Source organism: Homo sapiens, chromosome 4 (genome assembly GCF_000001405.40).
Source record: "Homo sapiens chromosome 4, GRCh38.p14 Primary Assembly".
Taxonomy (NCBI): domain Eukaryota; kingdom Metazoa; phylum Chordata; class Mammalia; order Primates; family Hominidae; genus Homo; species Homo sapiens.
The window spans coordinates 147,454,715-147,467,767 of NC_000004.12; the positions used below are offsets into that span (position 1 = coordinate 147,454,715).

A 13,053-nucleotide genomic window follows, 5' to 3' on the forward strand; every position below is an offset into this window, starting at 1 on the left:
CTCAGTGCATCAGGATCAGCCAGAGTAACCCCTAGAGCCTGGAAGCTGATGAGACTGTGCAATTTAAGAACATTTTAAATACACTGTGGAGTATCCATAAAGATCAAATGATATCCATAAAGATCATATCCATAAAGTATCCATAAAGATCAAATTTCTAATGAGGGAACAGACACAGTGTGCTTTCTTCAGGCACACGTGAATTTTGACCTCGTATCAGGACCTAAGAAAACACTTGCTTTGACACTACTGAATTTGAAAGCATCTAATTTTTAGTTGTAGGAGATTGCCCTGTGCATTGCAGGATGGTTAGCAACATCCCTAGCCTCATTTTTATAAATAAATCAGATCATCTCTTTCTCTTATTCAAAACCCTTCAATGATAGCTTCTCGGCCTTTCAGCTAAGATCAAGCATAGTATCAAAACCCTTCAATGACTTTCTGTGAATTTACAATAAATCTAAACTCTCTACTGGTGCTGTGGCTGCCACCCAAATCTTCAACTCCTAATATGAGTAGAACTGCCCTCCCCACTTCACAGCTGTGACAACCAAAAATGTCCCCTTGGCATAAAATTGCCTGCAGTTGAGAACCACTGCTATGAACAATTGAAAGATAAAGTACATTCAACGGTGCACATTGCCACAATGCAATATTGGTAACACAAATCTGAGATGGGCCCTCTATATTGCCAGATATTTTTATATTATACCCTAGTCAATCACTCATACTCTCCTGGAGTCTGGGACTAGTGACAATTATTTCACCCCTTCTTTTTCTCAAACTTCCATCAATTCCTCCTAAATCCTCATTTTCAACTAGTAACTTTACCTCCTATTTCACTATGAAAACAGAAGTGATCTGAAAATAGCTTCCTCTTTGTTCTACCACAGAATCCACCAGCATTTGTGCCAGTACCTCTACATTCAACTTTTCCTCCTGTTACAATGACCAATCCCTCCCTGTTCCTATGTAAGTCCAGATCATTCACTTGTGCTATGAAGCCCTTTTCCAGAAGCCGGCTGAAAGTTTAGTTCCTGCAAGTATAGCCCCTTGCTCTGCATCTTCAATTTCTCTCTCTCTCTCTCTCTCTCTCTCTCCTCTGAATCATTCCCATCAAAATACAAAAATGCTGTGATACAGCTCCCTTCTATGTTCCCTTTATTGCAGTTTCCTCCAAAGGACTCTCTCCATTCACTGTCTGCATTTGATCAGTACCCATCCTCTGAGCCATCTGGTTTTTTTCCTACTAATGAACCCACTTGCATCAAAGTCATCAAGACCCTCATCTTGCCTAACTGCTGAGAGTCCCCACCAATATCTTAGCAGCATATGCCAAAATTGGTCATTTTTTTCATTAAACACTGTCTTCCCATGTTTTCTGGGATGCTACATCCCCCAGTTCTCCTCTCACATCAGTAGCTATTTCTTTGATGTTTCCTTTCCCAGCTCTTCCTCTTTTGGACCTCTTTCTGAACTCCAAGAGCTAGTGGCCCAGGCTCTGTCCTCAGCTTCCTGTCCTCACTACCACACTCTTTCTAGATGACCTCATTCAGTTTCATGGCTTTAAATAACACAGATGATCCCCCTCCCACCAAAAAAAAAATTATATCTCTATCCAGGACAATTCCTCTGCTGTTCAGACCCGTATGTCCAATTACCAACCACATATCTCCATTTAGATGTCTAAATTTGAAATCGGTATTTCAAACTTAGTATACATAAAGCTGAACCCTTGATGTAGCTCCTGCCTCCCCTAGTGCTCTACATCTCAGTGAATGAGAATATACACCTACTTCCTCCATCCCAAGACTTACAAGTCATCCCTAACTCTTCACTACCTACATTCAATCCATTGGCAGCTCCTTAGCTCTGCCTCTAAATTCATCCATGATCTTACCACATCTCATAATCTCTGTTGCTACTATCCTAGTCAGAGTGCTTGTCTTTCCATTTGAAGTCCTGCAATGAGTCAGAGTGACATTTTTATACATATTAGATTATATTTTCCCCTTATTCAAAACTCTCCAATGCTTCCCTCCTATTTACAGTAAAATCCAAATTCTTTACCACACTATGGCTACCACAGAACGCACCGACTATAGAGACCATAATTACCCAAAGGTCCCTGCCTCTCAGGACATTCTGATTCATCACTGTGTTTGCACCAAAGCCATGTTTTCCACGAACTCCTCCCAGCCAGTGACTAATATTAAATCAAACTAATTCCTGGGAATCACAATACTCTTCTGATGGCCAACCAGAACTCAAGGAAGCATCAATGATCTAGCTGCACCTTCCTCACACTGCTCGGCAGTCCACAAACTTCCACCCAATCTTCCTCTCTCCTCTGCCCACGGCAGACTAACATCACAGTATCACAGTCTCATGGCTCTCTTAGCCTTCACTAAATTCTCCCTATTTTCTGTCACCCAGGTATTCACTTCATAAAATCCTTCCACTTGTTTTTTTTTTTTTTTTTTTTTTTTTTAGACAGAGTCTCGCTCTGTTGCCAGGCTGGAGAGTGCAGTGGCGCAATCTTGGCTCACTGCAACCTCCACCTCCCAGGTTCAAGTGATTCTCCTGCCTCAGCCTCCCGAGTAGCTTCCACTTTTAATCTCATCTTCATATCTGATGCTTGCATAGCCCAGACCAATGTGCACATCCACAAGGCTCTGTGTGATCTTCTTCCTGAACACCTTGTCCATCTTGTCTTTATTTCTCTCTTTCTTACAAACACTGCTCTATCAGCACTGCCCTTCATTTGTCCCTTGCCAAGTGGTTTTGCACAGGCCTTTTGTGCATGCTGATTTCTCTCCTGGAATGCTCTACTCTCAATCTTCAAATGGTTTACTCCCTTTTTCAGTCAGGTCTCTGCTCAAATGCCATACTACAGAGAGACATTTCTAGATCATTCTTTTAAAAGAGCTCCCATCCCATCAGAATCTTTACCTACCCTGATTTACATTTCTTACTACATGTGTCACTAAAATTTTGTTTTATATGTGTATTTTGTCCAGTTGTCAATCATCTCTCTCCTCCTCTAGGATATAAGCTCCATAAAGGCAAATATATTCTTCCTGCCTGCTACCCAGTGCACTGCCTGGCCTACAGAAGTTCAATAAAATAAAATTGAGTTTATGAAATCAGTGATTTTGATGATATATTCAAGCAATGATAATTAACACATGCATTAATTTTATAGCCTTTAGTAATGCATACTTGCCACTATCCAAAGTATATATTCTTTGAGTTCATGTCCTTTGCAGGGACATGGATGAAGCTGGAAAAAAGCATCCTCAGCAAACTAAAGCAGGAACAGAAAACCAAACACTGCATGTTCTCACTCATAAGTGGGAGTTGAACATCGAGAACACATGGACACAGGGAAGGGAACATCACACACCGGGGCCTGTCAGGGGGTGGGGGCAAGGGGACGGAGAGTATTAGGACAAATACTTAATCATGCCATGCTTAAAACCTAGATGATGGGTTGATAGGTGCAGCAAACCACCATGGCACCTGTATACCTATGCAACAAACCTGCACATTCTGCACATGTATCCCAGATCTTAAAGTAAAATTTTAAAAAATTAAATAAATAAATAATTTTGTGCCTATATTCTTTTTTTTAGTGCAGGAAAGGGCTGTAACTTTATTTGTATTTCCTCTTACACAAAACCATCAAAACAAGAACAGAGAAGGGATGAAAATCTGTTCAAACCCCATGTTCTCAGGCATATTCCAGGGAGCTCTTGAGGCTGAGTGCACAGCTTCAAATCCAGCACTAATTCCTCAACACCTGGCCTGAGGTCTTCAAAGACTGGTGGCTTGAGCCCTGCAATTAATTATAATCCCTTGCCCACCTTGATATAAGGCAGGAAAGCAGATTGAAATGCTCCTCTTTGGTGGGCAAGGGGAATCACAGCCCATAAATGTACTACATCTTCTGTGCTACAGAAGCAGAACCTGAAGCTGCTTCCAAGGCTCTGGACACTTGCACACAGGGCTAGAGGCCAATGGTATATAAGCAGGCTGTGGGATTGTGAACAGCAGAACAGACTGGTGCTGTCATAGCCCACTGATACCACACCTTCTTAGAATTGCTGCCTCACCAGAAATGCACACAGATGGTCTGGCCTTCACGCACCATTATGGGCTGCTTAATAGGGAAGAGGATGGGAAACCATGAGAACATCCCAGGAGAGTGAGTCTCTGTCTGGACAGATACTCAGAGTGATGTACTGATAAAGCATCTTAACGTATCCTGCAAAGCCATGCAGTACTGTATTCACCTCCACGGGAAACTCCAAGGTCCAGTAGCAGTTGTTGTCAATCGTAGGATCTGTGTTGGGATGGCTGAAGGTGAAACAGGGCTGGGATGCAGACAGCTGGTGGAGGTTGTGCAGTCGTACCACATAAGGCATCTCAAACTAGGCCTCAGGGTCACAGATCTTCTCCCTACAGGCTCAGACCTCATTGTACAGCTTGGAGGAGGAGATGGGAGCCAGGAAGGAAGTGTATTCCCCGGGGATGCGCACGCCTTCATGTTTTAGGAAGTGCTGGGCTCCATGCAGGCACTCAGGGGACAATTCATTGTCAACAAACAAGCAAAAACTGTCTATATTCTTAAATTAAGATAGTACCTTATTCCAATTGTAGCACTATTATAATAATGTTTCATTTTAAAACTCTGGTCTTATACCCTAGTAATGCAACTTACAGGTTATCATTGAGTGTGAGGAATTCTGGTATCTGATATCTGTCAACAAAGTGTCTGGAGGTCCAATATCTTTGAAGGACAGGAATCTTCCATCTATCTGCTATTAGGCAACTACTTTTGTACCTTTGAATGAATTGAGGATGCTGGAGAGGATAAAGGTAACACTCTTTGGGTTGGTCCTTTATTTTAAAGAACACTGTCAATGAGAAGAAATATGTGAAAGCATTTTGCCAGGTTTGTCATTGGGCACCCACTATGTTGTTTTAGAATAGCTCTAAGGTAAGTGGGAGCTTTTCCTAAAGTACATAGCTCTCAAATTAACATTGACCCTTCAGGAAAGTAGGATCTCCTTACAATGTTTCACTTTATGATGCACTTTTCAGAGAAACTGGTAAGGAAATGGGATATGCCTATACCTCTTCTACCTTTCTCACAGGAATAGTATGAAACTAAAAATGTTGGCTATAATTGCATTTTGAAAAAATTAAGTGAACTAGATGCAAACTACTATAAAAAAATTCAGTTCATACTGCGGAATATTCTATCCTAAGGTGGCCAGCATGCTATACATGGCTTTTAAAATTTGTGGGACCAAAGATTATACCTATAATATGTGTTTCCATTATAAAATCCAAATAAGGAAAATAAAAAAGAACATAATTTGACAATCATTTAAGTAATCTAGAAGAGAGAGAATGGATATAGTCTAACCCCTAGAGAGATGAGTGTAAGTGGACTCAACCAGCCAAATCTGAAGATAGCCCACTAGTGAGGTGACTCAGGTTGTGATATAACAATGAGAGTGTTTCTGAAAAGGAATTGGGAGGGTATTCTGGTCAGAGCTAGTGGAATATGTGAAGGCTTGGAGGGAAGAGAGGGTGAAACTTGCATGAAAGCTATCAAATATATTTTTCTGACTCAACTCAAAGAGCATGCAGGCTCAAGGGTGAGACTTACCTATATTAAATAATAAATACAATCAAGTAGAATTTCAATTTGCAATGCTGATGGAGAGATGATACCACCAGAAGTTTTAGTTTAATGTAGTTCAGGGTGGAAGAAAGTGAATATCCTTGCAGGGTTCTGGAATGGGGGTGTAGATACAAGCCATTACAGTCTGAATGTTGGTGTCTCCCCAGAATTCATATGTTGAAATTCTCACCCCAAGGTGATGGTATTAGGAGTCGGAGGGTGGGGGGCGCCTTTTGGGAGGTGATTAGGTCATGAGAGTGGACTGCTCACGAATGGGATTAGCACCCTTATAAAAGAGGCCTGAGGGAGCTTGGCTGTCCCTTCCGCCATGTGAGGACCCAGAGAGAAGGCAGCATCTGTGAACCAGGAACCAAACACCTCACCAGACACCAAATCTGCCAGTGCCTTCATCATGAACTTCCCAGCCTCTAAAACTATGAAAAATAAATTTCTGTTTTTACAAGTTACCCAGTTTATGGTACTTCGTGAGAGCAACCCAAATGGACTAAGAAGCTAATATCATAGCGGCTCTATGAATTCTGGAACTGGCTTTGAATAAAGATAGAAAGAGGGAATGGGAATAGAGTCTCTCATATGAACTTTCAAGTTAATTCCTATGAGGTATTAAGGATAAAGAAAATAAATATTCTTGAGAAACACTACCACAACCAGAACTAAAAAAAAAAAAAGAGAACATCTCCAATAAATAAAGCAGGTTAGGGCTTCACATAAAAGAGTTTAGAATTTTGTTTAAAACCATGTCTAAAACTTCAGTATCTTCAATAATTTGGTTTAAAACAACATCTAAAACTTTAGTATTTTCAAGACATGATACTTTTTTAGTATCTTCAAGGCATGATTTTTTTAAGTCTCATGCAGACAGAAATTACAAACTGTAGCATGAGTAAACCTTACCTGGAGTGACTAACATCAACATAGCATCACTAAAATGATGAGTAGTAACGCATAACCACATCCTCAAGACTCACCCATATCAGCATTTCCTAATGTGATTTAACTGCAGAATGCTTTAGGAATTATAAAATGTTGATAAAACACCAACCTAGAAGATATTATGCACATTTGATTAAGAAAGAGCAAAAAATAAATGCTTCCAGAAAATATCAAAATTGAATTCAGTTTGAGAAGAAATAAACATTGAATAGAATCACAAATAAATTAAGTAGGAAAATGTTGTTATATTTTAGAGATATATAATGAACTACTTAGGGGTGAATGTCATGATGTCTATAATTTTTACAGTACTTCCACAGAAATATATACCTTTATGAAGCATATAAAGCAAACTGTGAACATTTTTTAATTCTTTCAAGCCCAAAGGGCAATTCATGAGGCAGCAAGTTGGAACAAAGCTACGGAGCCCAGAGCAGAGCGGTGTGTACAAAAATGTCTGCAAAATGTCATTTCAAGCCATAGAAAGCAAGTGTAGATGTTATTAAGGGCTGAATTATGTCCCCCAAAATTTATATATTGTATTCCTAACCCCCAGGACCTCAGAATGTGACCATATTTGGAAATAGGGCCTTTAAAGAGGTAACTGAGGTAAAATGAGGCTATAAGTGGGCCCTATCCAATATGACTGGTGTCCTTCAAAGAAGAGGAGGTTAGGACGCAGACACTCACAGGATAGACATGCATGCTCACAGAGAAAAGACCATGTGAGGACACAGGAAGAAGACAACCATCTGCAAGGCACAGAGAAAGGCCTCAGAAGAAACCAAACTTGGGGACACCTTGGTCTCAGACTTCCAGCCTTCAGAACTGTGAGACAATCAATTTCTGTTGTTCAAGCCACCCAGTCTGGTATTTTGTTACAGCAGCCCTTGCATACTAATACAGACGCCCTCCCGAATATATTCAGTCAGAAAGCTGTAGACAAAGGTCCTTGGGATACCATCTAATCTATCCATCATCCTTTAGGCAAGGCTACCTCTCAGTCTTCCAACTGAAGGACAAAAAGAATGCCTGAGAAGAACACTGGATATCCATGGAAGATGGCTGAGTTGCTGGAGATGGTACAATAAGAACACAATTCTGAAATCTTGATTCAAAATTCTCTACAGCACAAAACCCATCTATTTCAGAACTGTAGTCTTAAAGCCTTGGTTGACAATGATGAAAAAAATTGTAAGTCTTTGCTACAGAACACACTCTTCATTAGACATTATTTAAACTTACATTACTGAAAATTACATTAAGAGCTGAAAGTCTCAATTATAGCCTTTCTAAAATTTTTAAAAATATTTTTATTTTTTGAGACAGGGTCTTGCTCTGTTACCCAGGCTTGAGTGCAGTAGTGCAATCATGGCTCACTACAGCCCCAAACTCCTAAGCTTAAACAATCCTCCCTCCCAAGTAGCTGGGACCACAGGTACATGCCACCATACCCAGCTAATTTTTTAAACTTTTTATAGAGATAGGGTCTCCTTATGTTTCCCAGGCTAGTCTCCAACTCCTGGGCTCAAGAGATTCTCCCACCTTGGCCTCTCAAAGGTCTCTCATGCCTGGAATTACAGGCGTGAGCCACCAGGCCCGGCTATTATTGCTTTTTAAACTCAGAATTCAGCTAAGGTAATGAAAAACATCTTCAAATTTTAAAAATATAAATTAGAAATTAGAAAAAAAGCACTGCTTCAAGCTTTATCTCACAACTTTACTGCTTTCTTTTTCACCGCCATATAAAAATATAATTAGAATTGCTTCCTAAGAAAATTTCTTTTCCAGAAGTTACCAAGAAGTCTTGAAAAAGTCTAATGTAGCACATGCTAACAATAGATGGTGTTGATTTTTCTTCCACAAATAGAAAAACTAAAAATAGAATTACCGTATGACCCAGCAATCCCAACTTCTGAGTATTTACCCAAAGACTTGAAATCCGTTGGTCAGAGAGATGTCTGCATTCCCATGTTTATTGCAGCACTATTCATAACAGCCAAGAAATGCAACAAACTGCAGTGTCCATCAACGCATAAATAAAGAATATGTGGTATATAAACATAAAGAAATATTATTCAGCTCTTACAAAGAAAATAGCCAGGCACAGTGGCTTACATCTGTAATCCCAGCACTTTGGGAGGCGGAGGCAGGCAGATCACTTGAGGTCAGGAGTTCAAGACCAGCCTGGCCAACATGGTAAAACCCCATCTCTACTAAAAATTACAAAAATTAGCCGGGCATCGTGGTGGGCACCTGTAATCCCAGCCACTTGGGAGGCTGAGGCAGGAGAATCACTTGAATCTGGGAGGCAGAGGTTGTAATGAGCCGAGATTGTGCCACTGCACTCCAGCCTGGGTGACAGAGCAAGATTCTGTCTCAAAAAAAAAAAAAAAAAGAAATTTTATCATTTGCAACAAAATGGATGGAATGAGAACATTATGCTAAGTAAAATAAGCCAGGCACAGAAAGACAACTACCTAACATTGTTACTTATATGTGGAATCTAAAACAATCGAAGCAGAGAGTAGAATGGTGGTTACAAAGGCTAGGGCCTTAGGGGGGAATGGAATGATGACAGTCAATGCATACGAAGTCTCAGTTAAAGAGGAGGAATATGGAGATTTTTTGAGTTCTATTGAACAGCATGGTGACTATAGTTAATAATAGAGTATTTTATATTTCAAAATTGCTAAGACTACATTTCAAATGTTCTCATCATAAAAATGTTAAGTACTTGAGGTGATAGATACACTAACTAGCTTGATTTAATTCTTTCACATTGCATTCATAAATGATAATATCACCTTGTATCCCATAAATTTATACAACTGTAAATTGTCCACTTATTACACAATAAAATAAGTTAAAAAAAAATTTAGCAGAAAGAGTTATTCTCACTGATAAGCAATGTTTCTGCATGTTTTTTGCACTGTTTCTAATTACTAAGTTGTTTTCAATGTGTGTCAGAAAGAAGAATTTGCCTAAAGGCGAGGCTTGACACCCTTAGAACAATACCCTTCATCGCCCCTCCATGGCCTGTCCTCACTCTTCGTGACCTTTGCCCTCTCCCGGCCACCCATTCATTCCTGAGCCTCTCCTCTTTATTAGTGTTGCAGACATTACCCTTCCCTGACTCTTTCTCTGACGTTTCCATCTCTTTTTGATAAGCTTCTAGTCATTGCTTATCCTAACTGCATGCCTTCTATGAGATTTGTCCTGGTCTCTTTGACCTTTTCTTTTTCAGATTCTGTCCCTAAATCAAATGCATCCAACTCCTGGCTGCAGTTACTAATTACTACACTCTCATATTTCAAACCTGAAGTCTTCACCTAGGCCTACAGTGCCATATGCCATCAGATATCAGCCATCTCCACTGGAATGTTTTCAAACGGCTTCAAAATTGAATTGCTCTCCTTCCCACATAAACCCCTTTTGCACTCCTTCCAAATCTGGCTTCCTTTCAAACTTCTTTTGCTGTCCATTTTTCTTACCCAGCCACTTTTTTACATATTGTCTATGATTCCTTTTGTGCTATGACAGCACAGTACAGTAGTTTTGACAAAGACTGGATGATATACAAAGACAAAAATATTTACTAGACAGTCCTTTACAGAAAATATTTTCTCACCTCCTATCTAGCAGACAACTCTATGCTAACATTTAGTAATTTGTTTTTAAGCAGTTCACACGTCTTTCCCCCATTAGACTCTATGCTTCTTTAGAATAGGGTCAAGTCTTACTCTTTTTTTTTTATTTCTATACCTAGCACAGTGCCTGGTACACAGTATCTACTCAAGGAATTTTGAACTATTTTGAACTCCCTCTAGGAAATTTTAGAGTCATCTTTTGACTCTTCTCACTATATCCCCTAGGTTCAACCTGCCCCCCTAAAAAAATTATTTGTTGCATTAGATCGTTTGCAAAAATGGCTGCAATAATTGCCTCTCTCTCTGTCCTTGTTTAGTGCCCTCCAATACTGTTTTTGGACTTCAACATGTTGCTTGCTTTGGCCAATGGAATAATGGCAAATAAGATGCATTCAGACATTTGAAGGGTATGTGAACACTGGAACTTGACCTCTCCTGCTGCATGTGGAACTCTGGTGCCACCAGGGGAAAGAGCCAAGCTAGCCTGCTGAATAATGAAAGATACATTGCCCCGTTACTCCCCTACGCTAGCCAAGAGCCAGAGAAATAAGTGAAGCCATCAAATGCTAGCTGATTGCAAGTACATAAGGAAACCTCATTGCATGAATGAGCCCAGCTAAGACCAGCAAAAAACCACCTAGCTGAGCCTAGCCCAAATCATTCACCCATAAAATCATGAGCTAATAAACCATTGCTGTTTTAAGCCAATATTTCTGGGGGTGTGGGGGGTTGTTATACAGCATAGGCTAGCTGCTACATTGATCTTCTTCATTATAAACATCTTTAGGATTTGTACCTTAAACTTTACCCCAACCACTAAAGCAGTATGCATCATCACATTATCCTCACCCTTATGCTCCATATTAGAATAACTCACCAACTTATCTTTTTACCTCTAACTTCTTTTTTTTATTTTTTTATTATTATTATACTTTAAATTTTAGGGTACATGTGCACAATGTGTAGGTTTGTTACATATGTATACATGTGCCATGTTGGTGTGCTGTACCCATTAACTCGTCATTTACATTAGGTATATCTGCTTATGCTATCCCTCCCCCCTCCCCCCACCCCACAACAGTCCCCGGTGTGTAATGTTCCCCTTCCTGTGTCCATGTGTTCTCATTGTTCAATTCCCACCTATGAGTAAGAACATGCGGTGTTTGGTTTTTTGTCCTTGCGATAGTTTGCTGAGAATGATGGTTTCCAGCTTCATCCATGTCCCTACAAAGGACAGGAACTCATCATTTTTTATGGCTGCATAGTATTCCATGGTGTATATGTGCCACATTTTCTTAATCCAGTCTATCATTGTTGGATATTTGGGTTGGTTCCAAGTCTTTGCTATTGTGAATAGTGCCACAATAAACATATGTGTGCATGTGTCTTTATAGCAGCATGATTTATAATCCTTTGGGTATATACCCAGTAATGGGACGGCTGGGTCAAATGGTATTTCTAGTTCTAGATCCCTGAGGAATGGCCACACTGACTTCCACAATGGTGGAACTAGTTTACAGTCCCACCAACAGTGTATAAGTGTTCCTATTTCTCCACATCCTCTCCAGCATCTGTTGTTTCCTGACTTTTTAATGATTGCCATTCTAACTGGTGTGAGATGGTATCTCATTGTGGTTTTGATTTGCATTTCTCTGATGGCCAGTGATGGTGAGCAATTTTTCATGTGTTTTTTGGCTGCATAAATATCTTCTTTTGAGAAGTGTCTGTTCATATCCTTCGCACACTTTTTGATGGGGTTGTTTGTTTTTTTCTTGGAAATTTGTTTGAGTTCATTGTAGATTCTGGATATTAGCCCTTTGTCAGATAAGTAGGTTGCAAAAATTTTCTCCCATTTTGTAAGTTGCCTGTTCACTCTGATGGTAGTTTCTTTTGCTGTGCAGAAGCTCTTTAGTTTAATTAGATCCCATTTGTCAATTTTGTCTTCTGTTGCCATTGCTTTTGGTGTTTTAGACATGAAGTCCTTGCCCATGCCTGTGTCCTGAATGGTATTGCCTAGGTTTCCTTCCAGGATTTTTATGGTTTTAGGTCTAACATGTAAGTCTTTAATCCGTCTTGAATTAATTTTTGTATAAGGTGTAAGGAAGGGATCCAGTTTCAGCTTTCTACATATGGCTAGCCAGTTTTCCCAGCACCATTTATTAAATAGGGAATCCTTTCCCCATTGCTTGTTTTTCTCAGGTTTGTCAAAGATCAGATAGTTGTAGATATGTGGCATTATTTCTGAGGGCTCTGTTCTGTTCCATTGATCTATATCTCTGTTTTGGTACCAGTATCATGCTGTTTTGGTTACTGTAGCCTTGTAGTATAGTTGGAAGTCAGGTAGCGTGATGCCTCCAGCTTTGTTCTTTTGGCTTAGGACCGACTTGGTGATGCGGGCTCTTTTTTGGTTCCATATGAACTTTAAAGTAGTTTTTTCCAATTCTGTGAAGAAAGTCATTGGTAGCTTGATGGGGATGGCATTGAATCTGTAAATTACCTTGGGAAGTATGGCCATTTTCTCGATATTGATTCTTCCTACCCATGAGCATGGAATGTTCTTCCATTTGTTTGTATCCTCTTTTATTTCATTGAGCAGTGATTTGTAGTTCTCCTTGAAGTGGTCCTTCACATCCCTTGTAAGTTGGATTCCTAGGTATTTTATTCTCTTTGAAGCAATTGTGAATGAGAGTTCACTCATGATTTGGCTCTCTGTTTGTCTGTTATTGGTGTATAAGAATGCTTGTGATTTTTGTA

The 13,053-nt window shown here is 39.8% G+C and overlaps 1 pseudogene, besides 1 other annotated feature; it reads right to left on the bottom strand.

Annotated features, from left to right (window-relative positions):
• Positions 1 to 3,812: 3,812 nt before the first annotated feature.
• On the bottom strand, positions 3,813 to 4,612 carry PRMT5P1 (protein arginine methyltransferase 5 pseudogene 1; annotated as a pseudogene).
• Positions 5,771 to 6,970: an enhancer, noted in NCBI's record as "MED14-independent group 3 enhancer chr4:148381637-148382836 (GRCh37/hg19 assembly coordinates)". NCBI's record gives its function as "activates an origin of replication core promoter dependent on BRD2, BRD4, P300/CBP and CDK7 cofactors, and independent of MED14, by STARR-seq in HCT116 cells {active_cell/tissue: HCT116}" and the evidence as "EXISTENCE:reporter gene assay evidence [ECO:0000049][PMID:35650434]".